This window comes from Homo sapiens, chromosome 6, assembly GCF_000001405.40.
Source record: "Homo sapiens chromosome 6, GRCh38.p14 Primary Assembly".
NCBI classification, from domain to species: domain Eukaryota; kingdom Metazoa; phylum Chordata; class Mammalia; order Primates; family Hominidae; genus Homo; species Homo sapiens.
Genome location: NC_000006.12, coordinates 121,228,501 through 121,242,603, shown reverse-complemented (window position 1 = coordinate 121,242,603; position 14,103 = coordinate 121,228,501). Strand labels below are relative to the sequence as shown.

Here is a 14,103-nt window from a genome sequence, read left to right as displayed (position 1 = left end):
ATAATAAAAATGCTGACATATGCAGTTAACATTTTTTTCATTCAGTGAAGAGAAATTATAGGTATAGAAAATGTAAGAATAAAAGAATTCACTACCAAAGAAACCATGTTTTTATTTAATTTTAAACCTTTATTGATTAATTTGCAACCAATATATACTGTGTAACTTTAATTGTAAACAGGGTTAAGCTCAGCTAAGACATACTCTTTGTTTTCAGTTTTTAGTATCTTAAAGAAAGCTCTACCTTTCTTTTACCTATTTCAGTATGGCTTGGGAAGATAATTTGTTAGATGATTTACTACATTTTGCTGCCACCCCCAAAGGATTACTACTTCTTCAAAGAACAGGTGCTATCAATGAATGTGTGACATTTATATTCAATCGATATGCAAAAAAATTACAGGTATGAATTACCATCTGCCAAAGGCAAAGGGAATTTTTGTGGTTTTAAAAGCCATTAAGAACATCATTCTGTTTTCTGTGTATGAAGAAGTTATTAAGCCTCTGTTAAAAGACCATATAGCATTGTAATAGTCAACTTGATTTTTTTTTAGGAAAACATTAGAGAGTTGATATTAGTGTCTGTGGCTGTATTTACAGAATTGCAAACAACCAGATGGAATTGAAGAATGCAGTTAATTATCGTATGTTTTATAATTATGATATCAAACATCTGGATGTAGTGAAACTGGGTGAATTTCCTAAGGAAATAAACCTATTGTGTCTAAATGTATATGTCAGTGAAGATTTAGGCCTCACATTTTAAAGGAAACAAAAATATTTGTAGAGGCATTCTATTATTCTACTATTAAATAAATTTACAATATAATTTAGTCTTTAACAGTCAAAGGTCAAAGGTCACTGAGTTGTAATCAGCTTTTTTTCTGTCATACTAAATATCCCTAGACTTTTGGGCTTTTTAAGATCTTAGGTATGATTTTAAAATATTTTTCAGAGTTTGTTTTTGCAGTTCTTACCATCTTGAAGGAATGTCTAGTTAGCATGCCATGTTTTGTTGCTTTTCATTGCTGTTCCTTATTTATGCTGTTAGGTCAGCAGGCATAAAAAATTTGGCTATGGAGTTTTGGTTACACGAGTGGCATCAACAGCAGCAGGTGGCATTGCACTAAAAAAGTCAGGTAAATGTTTTCTTTTCATTAGAATTATAATTATTTTAAAGATAAAATGAGCAAGCCAACTGAAAATTTAACTGGCACAATTAAGTATCAGGATATTTACTCTAAAATTCTTTTTACTAAGTTAGACCTTATGTAAAAGAAAGTTACAGGATTTTCTTTTTGTCTTTCTTTTTCCATGAAATTCCAATACGGTTTTGTGTTTCTGTGATATATATACAACCTTGTTCTGTTGCCTCGGACCAATGGCAAATAATGAACTCAGGAGAAACGTACTTAATGCTTTAAGAATCTTCCTTCATCTTATAAATCAGAAGAATATCATCTTCTCTCAGTACAGTCCCATCTGATAGGATTATCTAATGCTTATTGTCAGTGGCTTACATATGCTTCAAAATTTACACTCATTTACATAACATTTCCTAATTCCCTTTCTCCCTCTTTTCTTCTTGAAAGCATTTGTCTTACCACTTAGCTTTCACATTATCTTTGAAGTTGACAGTTAAGTACATATTCTTCCCTGTCCATTTGATTTGTAAGAAGTTAAAACATTGGAAATTTAGTATGTCTTTTTTTTTTTTTTTTTTTTTGTGAGACAGAATTTCACTTTTGTCGCCCAGGCTGGAGTACAATGGCATAGTCTCAGCTCACTGCAACCTCCGCCTCCTGGGTTCAAGCAATTCTGCTGAGTAGCTGAGATTACAGGAGGCCACCACCACGCCTGGCTAATTTTTGTATCTTTGGTAGAGATGGGGTTTCACCATGTTGGCCAGGCTGGTCTTGAACTCTGACCTCAGGTGATTCGCCCGCCTTGGCCTCCCAGAATGCTAGGATTACAAGTGTGAACCACCGCACCCGGCCAATATGTCTTATATTAAGGTTATCTGAGCTCTGAACAATATATAATCCCTGATAGAGATGCTATGACAATATTTTTTCAAGGCTTAGAGTTGAATTATAACATGAGTGATCACTACTGATTCTCTCTTTAAATACAAATATTTTTCCTATAGTATATTTTACATTTATTTTTTGGGCTGAACTAATTTGGACTACTTGTATTATGAAACATGTTTCTTGGTAAAAAAAAAAAAAAAAAAAAAAAAAAAATTGTCCTAAACTGAACCACTAATTTTTTTTCTTCTACTTAGAATAAAATTCATGTAGTGCAGTATCCAGAGCACATTAACTGAAGTATTTGGAGACTAGATTTAATCTCAGATCTCACCCTTGGTAAAATCATTAAGCTTCTGAGCATCAGAGTCTCAAACTTTTCATGAGAGGGGTAAGTGTAGTTTTCAAAGGACAGAAGGAGGAAGACTACAGTTTCTTGAGCTTCTCCGATGTCGTAGGTACTATATTAGGAACTTCACATGTATTGTCCTGTTGATACTTCATGGCAACCTTGGATTATGGCATCATTATTTCAATTTTCAAATGGGGGAACTAAGGCTCCAAGAAGTCACAGGATTTTTGCAAGGATGAACAGCTAATAAACTGGCATATTTGGAATTTAAACTCTAATATTCTTGATTTTAGAGCCCATATTTTTTTCTCTCATACCAGAAGACCCTTTCTGATCGAATATTGTTGTTATGAACTTACTTATTTTAGGATTCAATGTTGTGTTTGACACTTTTCCACATGATTTTTCTACTTGATTTTTTAATAGACTAATTTGAGAATCAGGTTTTATATTCATTTTCGTTTAGTTGTATAGTATGACTCGTAAGAATTTAAAGACTGGGTTGAAGCAAAAGTTGTATGAAATGCAGAATTCTTCTTAGTGTATGGAATTACAAAAAAAAATTAGTTATATTGGAATAAGGGAGCATACACTCTTTGGATGCCTACCTGGCCTCCTGTTACCTCTTTCTCTCCTCCCCTCACCTCTGAAAAACACAGTCTGATTTCAGACTGCCTTACTTTGCTGGCTGATTTGCAAAGCAAAGTATAAACTTTATTATGTTTCAGAAAACATGCTCAGAGAAGTTATAGGCCAAAGTGAAGAAGCTGGGACTCAAAATTCAGCAGTCTTCCAGGGAAATTGTCTCTCAGAATTTAGTTATTACAGAGTTTTATGATAATGAAGTATCATAAAAGTATATTAACAATAGCAGATATAATTTCTACCAAGAAGAGATTATTTTTTATATAAGATGCAAGTATGTGTCTTCTGTCAGAGTAGACCAGATTCATCAGAGGGATCATCATATCTTTCCTTCATAATCCAAAGAAATATTATGCTATAAATGACTTGAAGTAATAATTCTTTTTAGGGTTTATTAATGAACTTATAACTGAATTATGGTCCAATCTGGAATATGGAAGAGATGATGTTAGGGTAACCCATCCCAGAACTACTCCAGTGGATCCTATTGACCGAAGCTGTCAAAAGGTAAGAAGTTATTTGACTAATAATACACAGATTTGAAAAGTATTTCACAGAAATGAATTCGTTCATACTTTATCCATATTCAGTTACAACCAGCAGACTTTTTAATATATTTATTTCTCCTCTTTTTAATTTTCAAACTATTATTTTTATTTTCAAAATAAGTTTAGCAAATGATAGAAATCCCAGTGTTTTGTGGGAATAATATTTTGCAAGAATTATTTTCTTTTACTTTATGTCTATTAAAGTTTTTCTCCCTTAATGAAGAGTAATAATGTACCAGACATGTTACAAAAAAAAAATCATTGGAACAAAGAAAAACCAACCAACCAACCAATGAATATAAAAATCCAAGAAATGTTTTGCCCTATAGCTTGAATCTAATAGAAAATTGTCAGGAATATTTGAAGGAAGTACAGACAGAGAGAAGATGCTATCATTTAGAGTGAGGTCACAAAATTTTTAAAATCAGTCACCCAATGTTCTATCATAATTCAATGGCTTTTTACATTTAACATATTCTCCAAAGTTCACTAAAATAAAGTGACGATTCCTAACTTTGATTGTATGGTAGCTTAGACAATTTTTATTCAAAAGATGTCATAAGATTGCTTAAAAAGCAAAACACTCCAATGTTTCAGAAGTTTCTCTTTCTGGACTAGTTCACTCCCATAGAAAACACAAATTCTGGAAAAAATAAGTTAAAAATCAAGTAGCTAAAAGCATTGAAATGACCAAAAATAGGCAGAAAATAGAGGGAAGTTAATATATGGATGAATAGAGTGGTATTTCTTGAGATTCTGGATTTAACAGATTTTTGCTTAAGGTAGAAAATTTGTGCTCCACTGATAGAAATCTAAAATGCTTGAAGCACCAGAATAGAAAGCTTAGGACTACACAGCAGGTGGAAAATTAAAGGAGGTCCCTGGAAAATAGACCCACAGAGGGGACACTCCAAACTCTGTGTATATACTTTGCCCAGAAATGTGACTAATCACTCAAGTATGCCTGTGAACTGTAAAGAAATATCAGATGCTACCTATCATAGGTGTTAGAGAGTTCAGTTTGAATCTGGCCAATGTAACTGCTAAATTTATTTTTTAATGTACTCTTTGTCAGGGAGTATAATAGAATCCAGGATCTCTATGGCGTATCTCACAATGTATGGGATACAATCCAAAATCAGTAGACATATGAAGGAAAATGGAAATGTGATTCATTCTTGAGAAGAAGGCAACTAATACAGATTGATTGTGAAATGAAGAATTTAGGATTTTAAAGCAGTTATTATAAATAGAATATAAAGGGAAATATCCTTATAATGAATAAAAAAATTAGAAATCAGAGTAGAGAAATAAAACTATGTAAAAGAACCAGATAGCCATTCTAGAATTAAAAAAAACTTACATGAAATAAAAATTTCTACATGGCCTTCACAGATTTAAACATAATAGAAGAAGTAGTGAACTTGAATCAGATCAATAGAAATTATACAGTCTGAAGAGCAGAGAATGAAATAAAAGAAAAACTTCAGTGATTTGTGAGACCATGTCAAAATGTTTAACATGTATGTAATTGGAATATCAGAAATACATTTGACTAAATAATAGTGGAAAATCTTCAAATTTATTGACAAGTAGAAATTTATAGATGAAAAACTTAGTAAATTTCAAAGAGAATTTATGTAGAGAATGAAAATATAAAGGAAACTACACTAAGGCTCATCATAGACAAACTGCTAAAAACCAAAGATAAAGAGAAAATTTTGAAAGAAGCTTAAGAAAATCACATATTACATATAAGAGATTAGCAGAAAAATTTTTCATATCTCATTACAATAGTGGAAACCAGGAGGCAGTAGAGCATCTTAAATGTGCTAAATGGAAAAGGAAACAGAAGCAGTCAATTTAGAATTCTACATATAGTTAAAATATACTCCAATAATGAAAGTGAAAGAAATTTTAAAATAAACAAAGGCTAAGAAAATATTTGTCAGCAGACCTGCCTTTCAAATAATGATGAAGAAAATTCTTCATGTTGAAAGACAGTGCTACCAGATGGATAGCTGGATTTTCAGGATGGAAACAGGGAATTGCAAATAGGTAAGTGAGTATAGAAGCCTATTATTTTTCCTTTTAACTTATTTTAAATACATATGATTGGTTTTTTAAAACAAAATTATGATACATAGTGGGGTTTATTTTGTACTTAGAAATAAAATCGTACATAGGATAGCTGTAGCATAAAGGACAGGGGAATTGTATAATGGTAAATCAATCTATATGGTTCAACTTCCTCACATTTTATATAAAATGGCACAATATTCCTAATCCCTTGGAAATATTTATAATTCAAATAGAAGGTTACAGGGATTTTATTCAATTTGTTTGACTTTGCAATAGAAATGTCAGTATAAACTAAGGATTTTTTAAAAAATATTTTGTATTCTGCTAATCTATATACAGAAAGACCTAGAAATGACAACTCATTGTAGTAAACAGCCCTAGAGTCCAGCTTCTAGTCTCTAAGTCTTATTCCCTAAGGGATTCTTTTTTCATTTATAATCTAATTTGGTCTTTTAAATTGTGGAAAACAGTTATGTAGTTTCGATATATAACTAGATACCTTCAGAAACATATGTCCATTCTAGTCCCCATCCTTCATCTTCCCTCTGTGGCTTCTGTTAAACATGGTAGACAATTGCCCTATGCAGCTATACAAACTTGTATTAATTAAAATTAAAAATTCAGTTCCTTAATTATATTAGTCATAAGTGCTCAATAGCACATGTAGCTAGTGGTTACCATATTGTAAAATTCAGGTTATATAATATTTCTATCATTACAGAAAGTTCTATTGGACAGTACTTCCTTAGGAAAGCACTAAAAATTAGTGCAAAGAGGTATAGCTCATACATAAATTTTACAATTAAAAAAAAAAAACAAAAATAAAAACACAAACCAAACACAGAATAAGGTGGGGAGGAAAGAATAAAAGAACAGGAAATGGATGGAAAAAAAGAAAACAAGTAGGAAAATAGTAGCTCTAAATGCATCCATATCAATAATTACACTAAATGCAAATGAACTAAATATTCTAATTAAAATACAGATTTTCAGCATGTATAAAAAAGGAAGATACAACTATGTGCCATCTTTAAGAAATTAACTTTAGGATTAAGATGGTGGATAGGAGGTAGGACTAGCTTGCAGCTCCTGCTCAGACAGACAGAACATTGTGTGGAGACTTACATCGTGAACTGTTGCTTCAAGAACTACCACAGGAACATACTAGGAAAGATGACAGAATCCACAGAACCTTTGAAGGAACTGGATCACTGCTGCAGGCTCACTGAGATGTGGAAAAACTGAGTCTGCTTGCTTTCTCAACAAAGAGGCTTGTGGTCTGGGTCAAGTTCTCCGCCCTGATCACCAGCTGCCTGGAAATAGACTTGGTGCTGTTGAGGGGCAAGATAGGAGTGAGACCGGCATTTAGGACTGTCAGCTGCATGAGAGCATGGTGAGGCTGGTGACTGCCAGCTTTCCTCACTTGCCTGGTGATTTGTATGACTCAGGAGAGGCAGCCATAATCCCCCTGGAAATATAACTCCATTGGACTGGGAACCACTCACCCATCCCCCACAGCAGCCACAGCAAACTTCGCCCAAGGAGAGGCTGAGCTCAGACACGCCTCTCCCTGCCCCCTCCTGGTGGTCTTTTTTTACCCTCCCTGGTAGCTGAAGACAAAGGTCATAATCTCTTTGGAACTCTATGGCCCTGCCCACTGCCTGAGAATCCTGAATGCTTAACCAGGTGTCCCTAGGGCAAGGTTGCATCCTCCCTACAGGATCACAGCTGATGCCCTCTTGAAAGTGCCACCTCCTGGCTGGAGGCCAAGCAACACAAAACCAGCACACTAAACAAAAACACAACCAAGGAGCCTCACAGAGTGACTCCCCTGCCACCTCCACCAGAGCAGGTACTGATATCCATAGCTGCAAGACCTGAAGACGGATCACATCACAAGACCCTTTGCAGGCACTCCCTACTACCAGCCCAGAGCCCGGTAGCTCTGCTGGATGGCTAGACCCAGAAGAGCAAAAACAATTACTATAGTTCAGCTCTCAGGAAGCCCCATTCCTAGGGGAAGAGGAGAACACTACATCAAGTAGTGTTGGGATAACAGAATCTGAACAGCAGCCCTTGAATCCCACATCTTCCCTCTGACGTAGTCTACTCAAATGAGAAGGAACCAGAAAATGATTCTGGTAATATGACAAAATAAGTTTCTTTAACACTCCCAAATGATCATACCAGCTCATCAGCAATAGATCCAAACCAAGACAAAATCTCTGAATTGCCAGAAAAAGAATTCAGAAGGTTGATTACTCAGCTAATCAAGGAGTCATCAGAGAAAGATGAAGTCCAACTTAAAGAAATAAAAAACATGATACAGGATATGAAAGGAAAATTCTTCAGTGAAATAGAGAGCACAAATTAAGAACAATCACAACTTCTGGAAATCAAGGATACACTTAGAGAAATGCAAAATGCACTGGAAAGTCTCAGTAATAGAATCGAACAAGCAGAAGAAAGAACTTCAGAGCTCAAAGACAAGGCTTTCACATTAACTCAACCCATCAAAGATAAAGAAAAAAATTTTTAAAAATGAACAAAGCCTCCAAGAGGCTTGGGACTATGCTAAATGTCTGAGCCTAAGAATAATTGGTGTTCCCTAGGAAGAAGAGAAATTTGAAAGTTTGGAAAACATATTTGAGGTAATAATAAAGGAAAACTAACCCCAGCCTTGCTAAGGATCTAGACATCCAAATACAAGAAACTGAAAGAACACCTGGGAAATTCATCGCAAAAAGATCATTGCCTAGGCATATGGTCATCAGGTTATCTAAAATCAAGATGAAGGAAAAAAATCTTAAGAGCTGTGAAGCAAAAGCATTAGGTAACTTATAAAGGAAAACCTATCAGATTAACAACAGATTTCTCACCAGAAACCCTACAAGCTAGAAGGGATTGGGGTCCTATTTTTAGCCTCATTAAACAAAACAGTATCAGCCAGAATTTTTTATCCAGTAAAACTAGGCTTCATCAATGAAAGAAAGATACAGTCTTTTTCAGACAAACAACTGCTGAGAGAATTCACCACTACCAAGCCAGCACTATAAGAACTGCTAAAAGGAGCTCTAAATCTTGAAACAAATTCTCGAAATACACCAAAATAGAACATCCTTAAAGAATAAATCTCACAGCACCTATCTAACAAAAACACAATGACAAAAAAACCAAGGTATTCAGGGAACAAATAGCTTGATGAATAGAACAGTACCTCACGTCTCAATACTATCGTTGAATGTAAATGGCCTAAATGCTCCACTTAAAAGATACAGAATGGCAGAACGGATAAGAATTTACTAACCAAGGTACTGCTATCTTCAGGAGACTCACCTAACCCATAAGGACTCACATAAACTTAAGATAAAGGGGTGGAAAAAGATATTCCGTGCAGTGGACACTAAAAGTGAGCAGGAGTAGCTATTCTTATATCAGACAAAGCAAACTTTAAAGCAACAGCAGTTAAAAAGACAAAGAAGGATATTATATAATGATAAAAAGACTAGTCCCACAGGAAAATATCAAAATCCTAAATATATAAGCACTTAGCACTGGAGCTCCCTAATTTATAAAGCAATTACTAGTAGACCTAAGAAATGAGATAGATGGCAACACAATAATAGTGTGGAACTTTAATACTCCATTGACAACACTAGACAGGTCATCAGGATAGAAAGTCAACAAAGAAGCAGTGAAGTTAAACTATACCGTAGAACAAATGGACTTAACAGATATTTACAGAACATTTTACCGAACAACTACAGAATATACATTCTTTCATCAACACATAGAACATCCTCCAAGATAGACCATATGAGAGGCCACAAAAACAAGTCTCAGTAAATTTAAGAAAATCAAAATTATATCAGGTACTCTCTCAGACCACAGTGGAATAAAATTGGATATTAACTTCAAAAGGAACCCTCAAAACCATGCAAATACATGGAAATTAAATAACCTGCTCCTAAGTGATCATTGGACCAACAATGATATCAAGATGGAAATTAAAAACATTTTTGAACAAATGATAATAGTGACAAAACCTCTAGATACAGCAAAAGCGGGGCTAAGAGGAAAGTTTATAGCATTAAATGCCTACATCAAAATGCCTGAAAGAGCACAAATATACAATCAAATGTCACAACTCATGGAACTAGAGAAACAAGAATAATCCAAAACCAAACCCAGCAGGAAAAAAGAAATAATGAACACCAAGCTGAGAATCAAATAAAAAATTCAACCTGGTTTACAATAGTTGCAAAAATAAATAAATAAATAAAATACTTAGGAACATACCTAACCAAAGACATGAAAGACCTCTACAGGGAAAACTACAAAACACTGCTGAAAGAAATCAGACAACACAAACAAATGGAAAGACATTTCATGTTCATGAATGGGTAGAATCAATATTGTGAAAATGGCTATACTTCCCAAAGCAATTTACAGATTCAATGCAATTCCTATCAAAATACCACCATAATACTTCACACAACTAGAACAAACAATCCTAAAATGTATATGGAGCCAACAAAGAGCCCGCATAGCCAAAGCAAGACTAAGCAAAAAGAACAAATCTGGAGGCATCACATTACCCAACTTCACATTATTTTACAAGGCTACAGTTAACAGAATGACGTGGTACTGGTATAAAAATAGGCACACAGACCAAATGTAACAGAAATAGAGAACTCAGAAATAAAGCCAAATACAGCCAACTGATCTTCGACAAAGTAAACAAAAACATAAAGTGGTAAGTATACCCTATTCAAAAAATAGTGCTGGGGTAATTAGCAAGCCACATGTAGAAGAATGAAACTGGATCCTCATCTCTCACCTTATATAGAAAAATCAACTCTAGATCAATCAAACACTTAAATCTAAGATCTGAAACCATAAAGATTCCAGAAGATAACATCAGAAAAACCAAATCCTTCTAGACATTAGCTTAGGTAAAGACTTTATGACTAGGAATTCAAAAGCAAATGCAAGAAAAACAAAGATAAATAGATGGGACTTAATTAAATTAAAAAGCTTCTGCCCAGCAAAAGAAATAATCAGCAGAGTAAACAGACAACCCACAGAGTGGGAGAAAATCTTCACAATCTATACATCTGACAAAAGACTAATTTCCAGAATCTACAAAGAACTCAAACAAATCAGCAAGAAAAACACAAGCAACCATATCAAAAAGTGGGCTGAGGACGTGAATAGACAATTCTCAAAAGAAGATACACAAATGGCCAACAAGCACATGGAAAAATGTGCAATATCACTAATAGGGAAATCCATATCAAAACCACAATGTGATACCACCTTATTCCTGGAAGAATGGCCATAATCAAAAAATGAAAAAAAAATAGATGTTGGCGTGGATGCAGTGAAAAGGGAACACTTTTACACTGTCAGTGGGAATGTAAACTAGTATAACCACTATGGGAAACAGCGTGGAGATTCCTTAAAGAACTAAAAGTAGATCTACTATTTGATTCTGCAATCCCACTACTAGGTATCTACCCAGAGGAAAAGAAGTCATTATACAAAAAAGATACTTGCAAATGCATGTTCATAGCAGCACAATTTGCAATTGCAAAAATATGGAACTGCCCACATGCACATCAATCAATGAGTAAAGAAAATACGGTATATGTATACCATGGAATACTACTCAGCCATAAAAAGATCAGCCAGCTGATCTTTGACAAAGCAAACAAAAACATAAGGTGGGGGAAGCACACCCTATTCAAAAAATGGTGCTGGGATAATTAGCAAGCCACATGTAGAAGAATGAAACTGGATCTTCCTCTTTCACCTTATGCAAAAATCAACTCCAGCAACATCCAGGAACCTGGATGGAATTGGAGACTATTATTCTAAGTGAAATATTTAGGAATTGAAAACCAAACATTGTATGTTCTCACTCATATGTGTGAGCTAAGCTATGAGGACACCAAGGCATAAGAATGATACATCAGTCTTTGGGGACTCAGGGAAAAGGGTTGGGGATGGTGATGGATAAGAGACTACACACTGGGTACAGGGTACACTACTCAGGTGATGGGTGCACCAGAGTCTCAGCAATCACTACTAAGAGAACTTGTTCATGTAACCATACACTATCGGTTCCCCAAAAACCTATTGAAATAAAAATAAATGACTAGAAACACCATACAATCTGTTCCCCAAAAACCTATTGAAATAAAAATAAATTAAATAACTAAAAACACTGCACAAGTGGCAAATATATATACACACATGTGTATATATACACGTGTGTGTATATATGTATATATATATATCAGATATATACATATCAGATTTCAATAACATTTACCAGTAAAAAAGAAATTAACTTTATTTTTTCTGTGGACACAGTAAAATAAATATGTTCTGATTCACTTTAATTACAGGTGGCTTAACATCACCTAAGTTGCAGGTTGTTGATAACTGTCTGTACTGAACTATAATTAGAAACAAAATGAAATTACATTTTAGGTGGTAGGCAAATGTAGTTAACCAGTGTTAAAGATGATAATATATTTACCAATAACCTTTAGCATGTCAAACTGTGATAATTTATAAAAGTATATGGCAGAATGCTTGGCATATAGTAGGCACTCAATAAATGGTAGAAAGTATTATCAGCATCCGTATGTTTAATTAGTCATGATGCATAGTGTGGATATGAAAGCAAAACTATTAAATAGTATTTTTAAAAATTGGTTATGCTCAGAGGATGATCGAGAATCAATTGATTATCTTGAAACTTGTTTAATAAAATAACAGCATTTATTGTGCCTTTCCTGTATGAACTTGTTTTGGTCCATTTTCACTACTATGAAGAACTACCCGAGACTGGGTAATTTATAAAGAAAAGAGGTTTAATTGACTCATAGTTCCACATGTCTGGGGAGGCCTCAGGAAACTTACATTCAGGAAGGAAGGCGGAGGGGAAGCAAGGCACACATCTTACATGGCTGCTGGAGAGAGAGAGAGTGAAGGGGAACTGCCAAACACATTTAAACCATGAGATCTCAGGAGAACTCACTATCATGGGAACAGCATGGGGGAACTGCACCCATGATCCAATCAGCTCCCACCAGGTCCTTCCTTTGGCATGTAGGGATTACAATTTGAGATGAGATTTGGGTAGGGACAAAGAGCTAAACCATATCAGAACTCTACCACTGGGTAACCAAATAGTAGGTGAAGATAGTGCCTCTTTTTCATGAATTATCCCAACTAATAATTTTTTTAAAATGATGGAAGTAGAACGTCATCATTTGCAGTCTGCGAGAATTAATTGAGTCACCTTAACATCATTAAAACAGAAATGGCTAAACATTATTAATGTGCCCTCTAATGAAAGAATAAACCACCACCTCTAGTCTTACCAAGGTATCTAATTTGATCAAGCCTTTAGATTCAGCTGCCAGTTTGCAGAATATGGAAACTGCATATATCCAAAGGATGGAAGAACAGGCTGAACTGCTCCCTGACTGTGCACTTCCTGAAATCCAGACTGGTGGAAACTTTACAGGTCAAATGGCCTGAGCTTGTCAACAGATGAAATGAAAAGAAGGGAGAGGGAGAAGATGAATGCCTGTAGATTAAAAGAAACTTTAAATGACATATCAAGTCTTGAAAATGGGAAAGACAAAATTATAGTGTCTAGATATGTACACCTGAGAAATAAAACCACAAGAAAACCTTTGAAAATGATTATTGTAAAGGTCAGGATACTGGGTGTTATGGAGGGAGGGCAGGCGAGGTAATTGTAGGCACAGAGAAGGCTCTCTGGGGCAGGTGGCAGAGTTCTAGAAGAAGTTCACTTTAAAGATAAAGATAAGTTGGATGGAAAAAATATGTACAAAGAAGCAATAAACATTAGAAAACTGACACAGCCACATTTAGTGTCAGAGATAAAGTAAAGGAAAAACTATCAGATTAAGAGACACATTTTATAATGATAATATGAATATGGTCAATACGCCAGAAAGACATAATCATAAATCAGTATGATCCTAATAAAATATCTAAAATATATGTAGTATTAAAATAGAATTTAAGGAAGAAATAGGCAAATCTGCAATCAGAGTTGAAGATTTTAACATTTCTGTTAGCAACTGATAGAACAGATCAAGAGCTCTCTGTTAGGAATTACATGATATGAATACCACTATTAACCATTTGATATTTATAGAATATTATACTCGGTGACTACAGAATACGCATTCTTTTCAAGAACACATGGCATGTCCTCAAAGATAGACCATGTTGGGCTAAATGCAAGTCTAAATAAATTTAAGATAATTGGAATAATATGAAGTACATTCTATAACCACAATGAAATTAATTAAAAATCAAGAACTAGAAACTAGAAAAAAAGATACTTGGAAATTAAGCCACATACTTACAAATAACTTGTAGCTCAAAGAAGTCA

The 14,103-nt window shown here is 34.5% G+C and overlaps 1 protein-coding gene across 25 annotated transcripts in view, besides 1 other annotated feature; it reads left to right on the top strand.

Moving 5' to 3' along the window:
• TBC1D32 (TBC1 domain family member 32) overlaps window positions 1–14,103 on the top strand; it is a 255,236-nt gene that overhangs the window by 92,126 nt on the left and 149,007 nt on the right. For 23 of the 25 annotated variants that reach the window (NR_104452.2, XR_942346.3, XM_047418311.1 and 20 more), the window contains 3 exons: window positions 265–403; window positions 1,052–1,139; window positions 3,416–3,534. Coding sequence is in view for 23 of the 25 variants with exons in the window: in XM_047418311.1 (XP_047274267.1) it covers window positions 265–403; window positions 1,052–1,139; window positions 3,416–3,534 (346 nt within the window). In the remaining 2 variants the exon portion in view is untranslated. Of the gene's footprint in view, window positions 1–264; window positions 404–1,051; window positions 1,140–3,415; window positions 3,535–5,530; window positions 10,711–14,103 lie in introns of those variants that run through there. The other 2 variants (XM_011535585.3, XM_047418319.1) reach the window with 2 other exon arrangements.
• Window positions 7,458–7,627: an enhancer, noted in NCBI's record as "experimental_88931 CRE fragment used in MPRA reporter constructs". NCBI's record gives its function as "activates a minimal promoter by MPRAs in K562 erythroleukemia cells, with activity observed for both the introgressed and non-introgressed 6:121556208 variant alleles {active_cell/tissue: K562}" and the evidence as "EXISTENCE:reporter gene assay evidence [ECO:0000049][PMID:34662402]".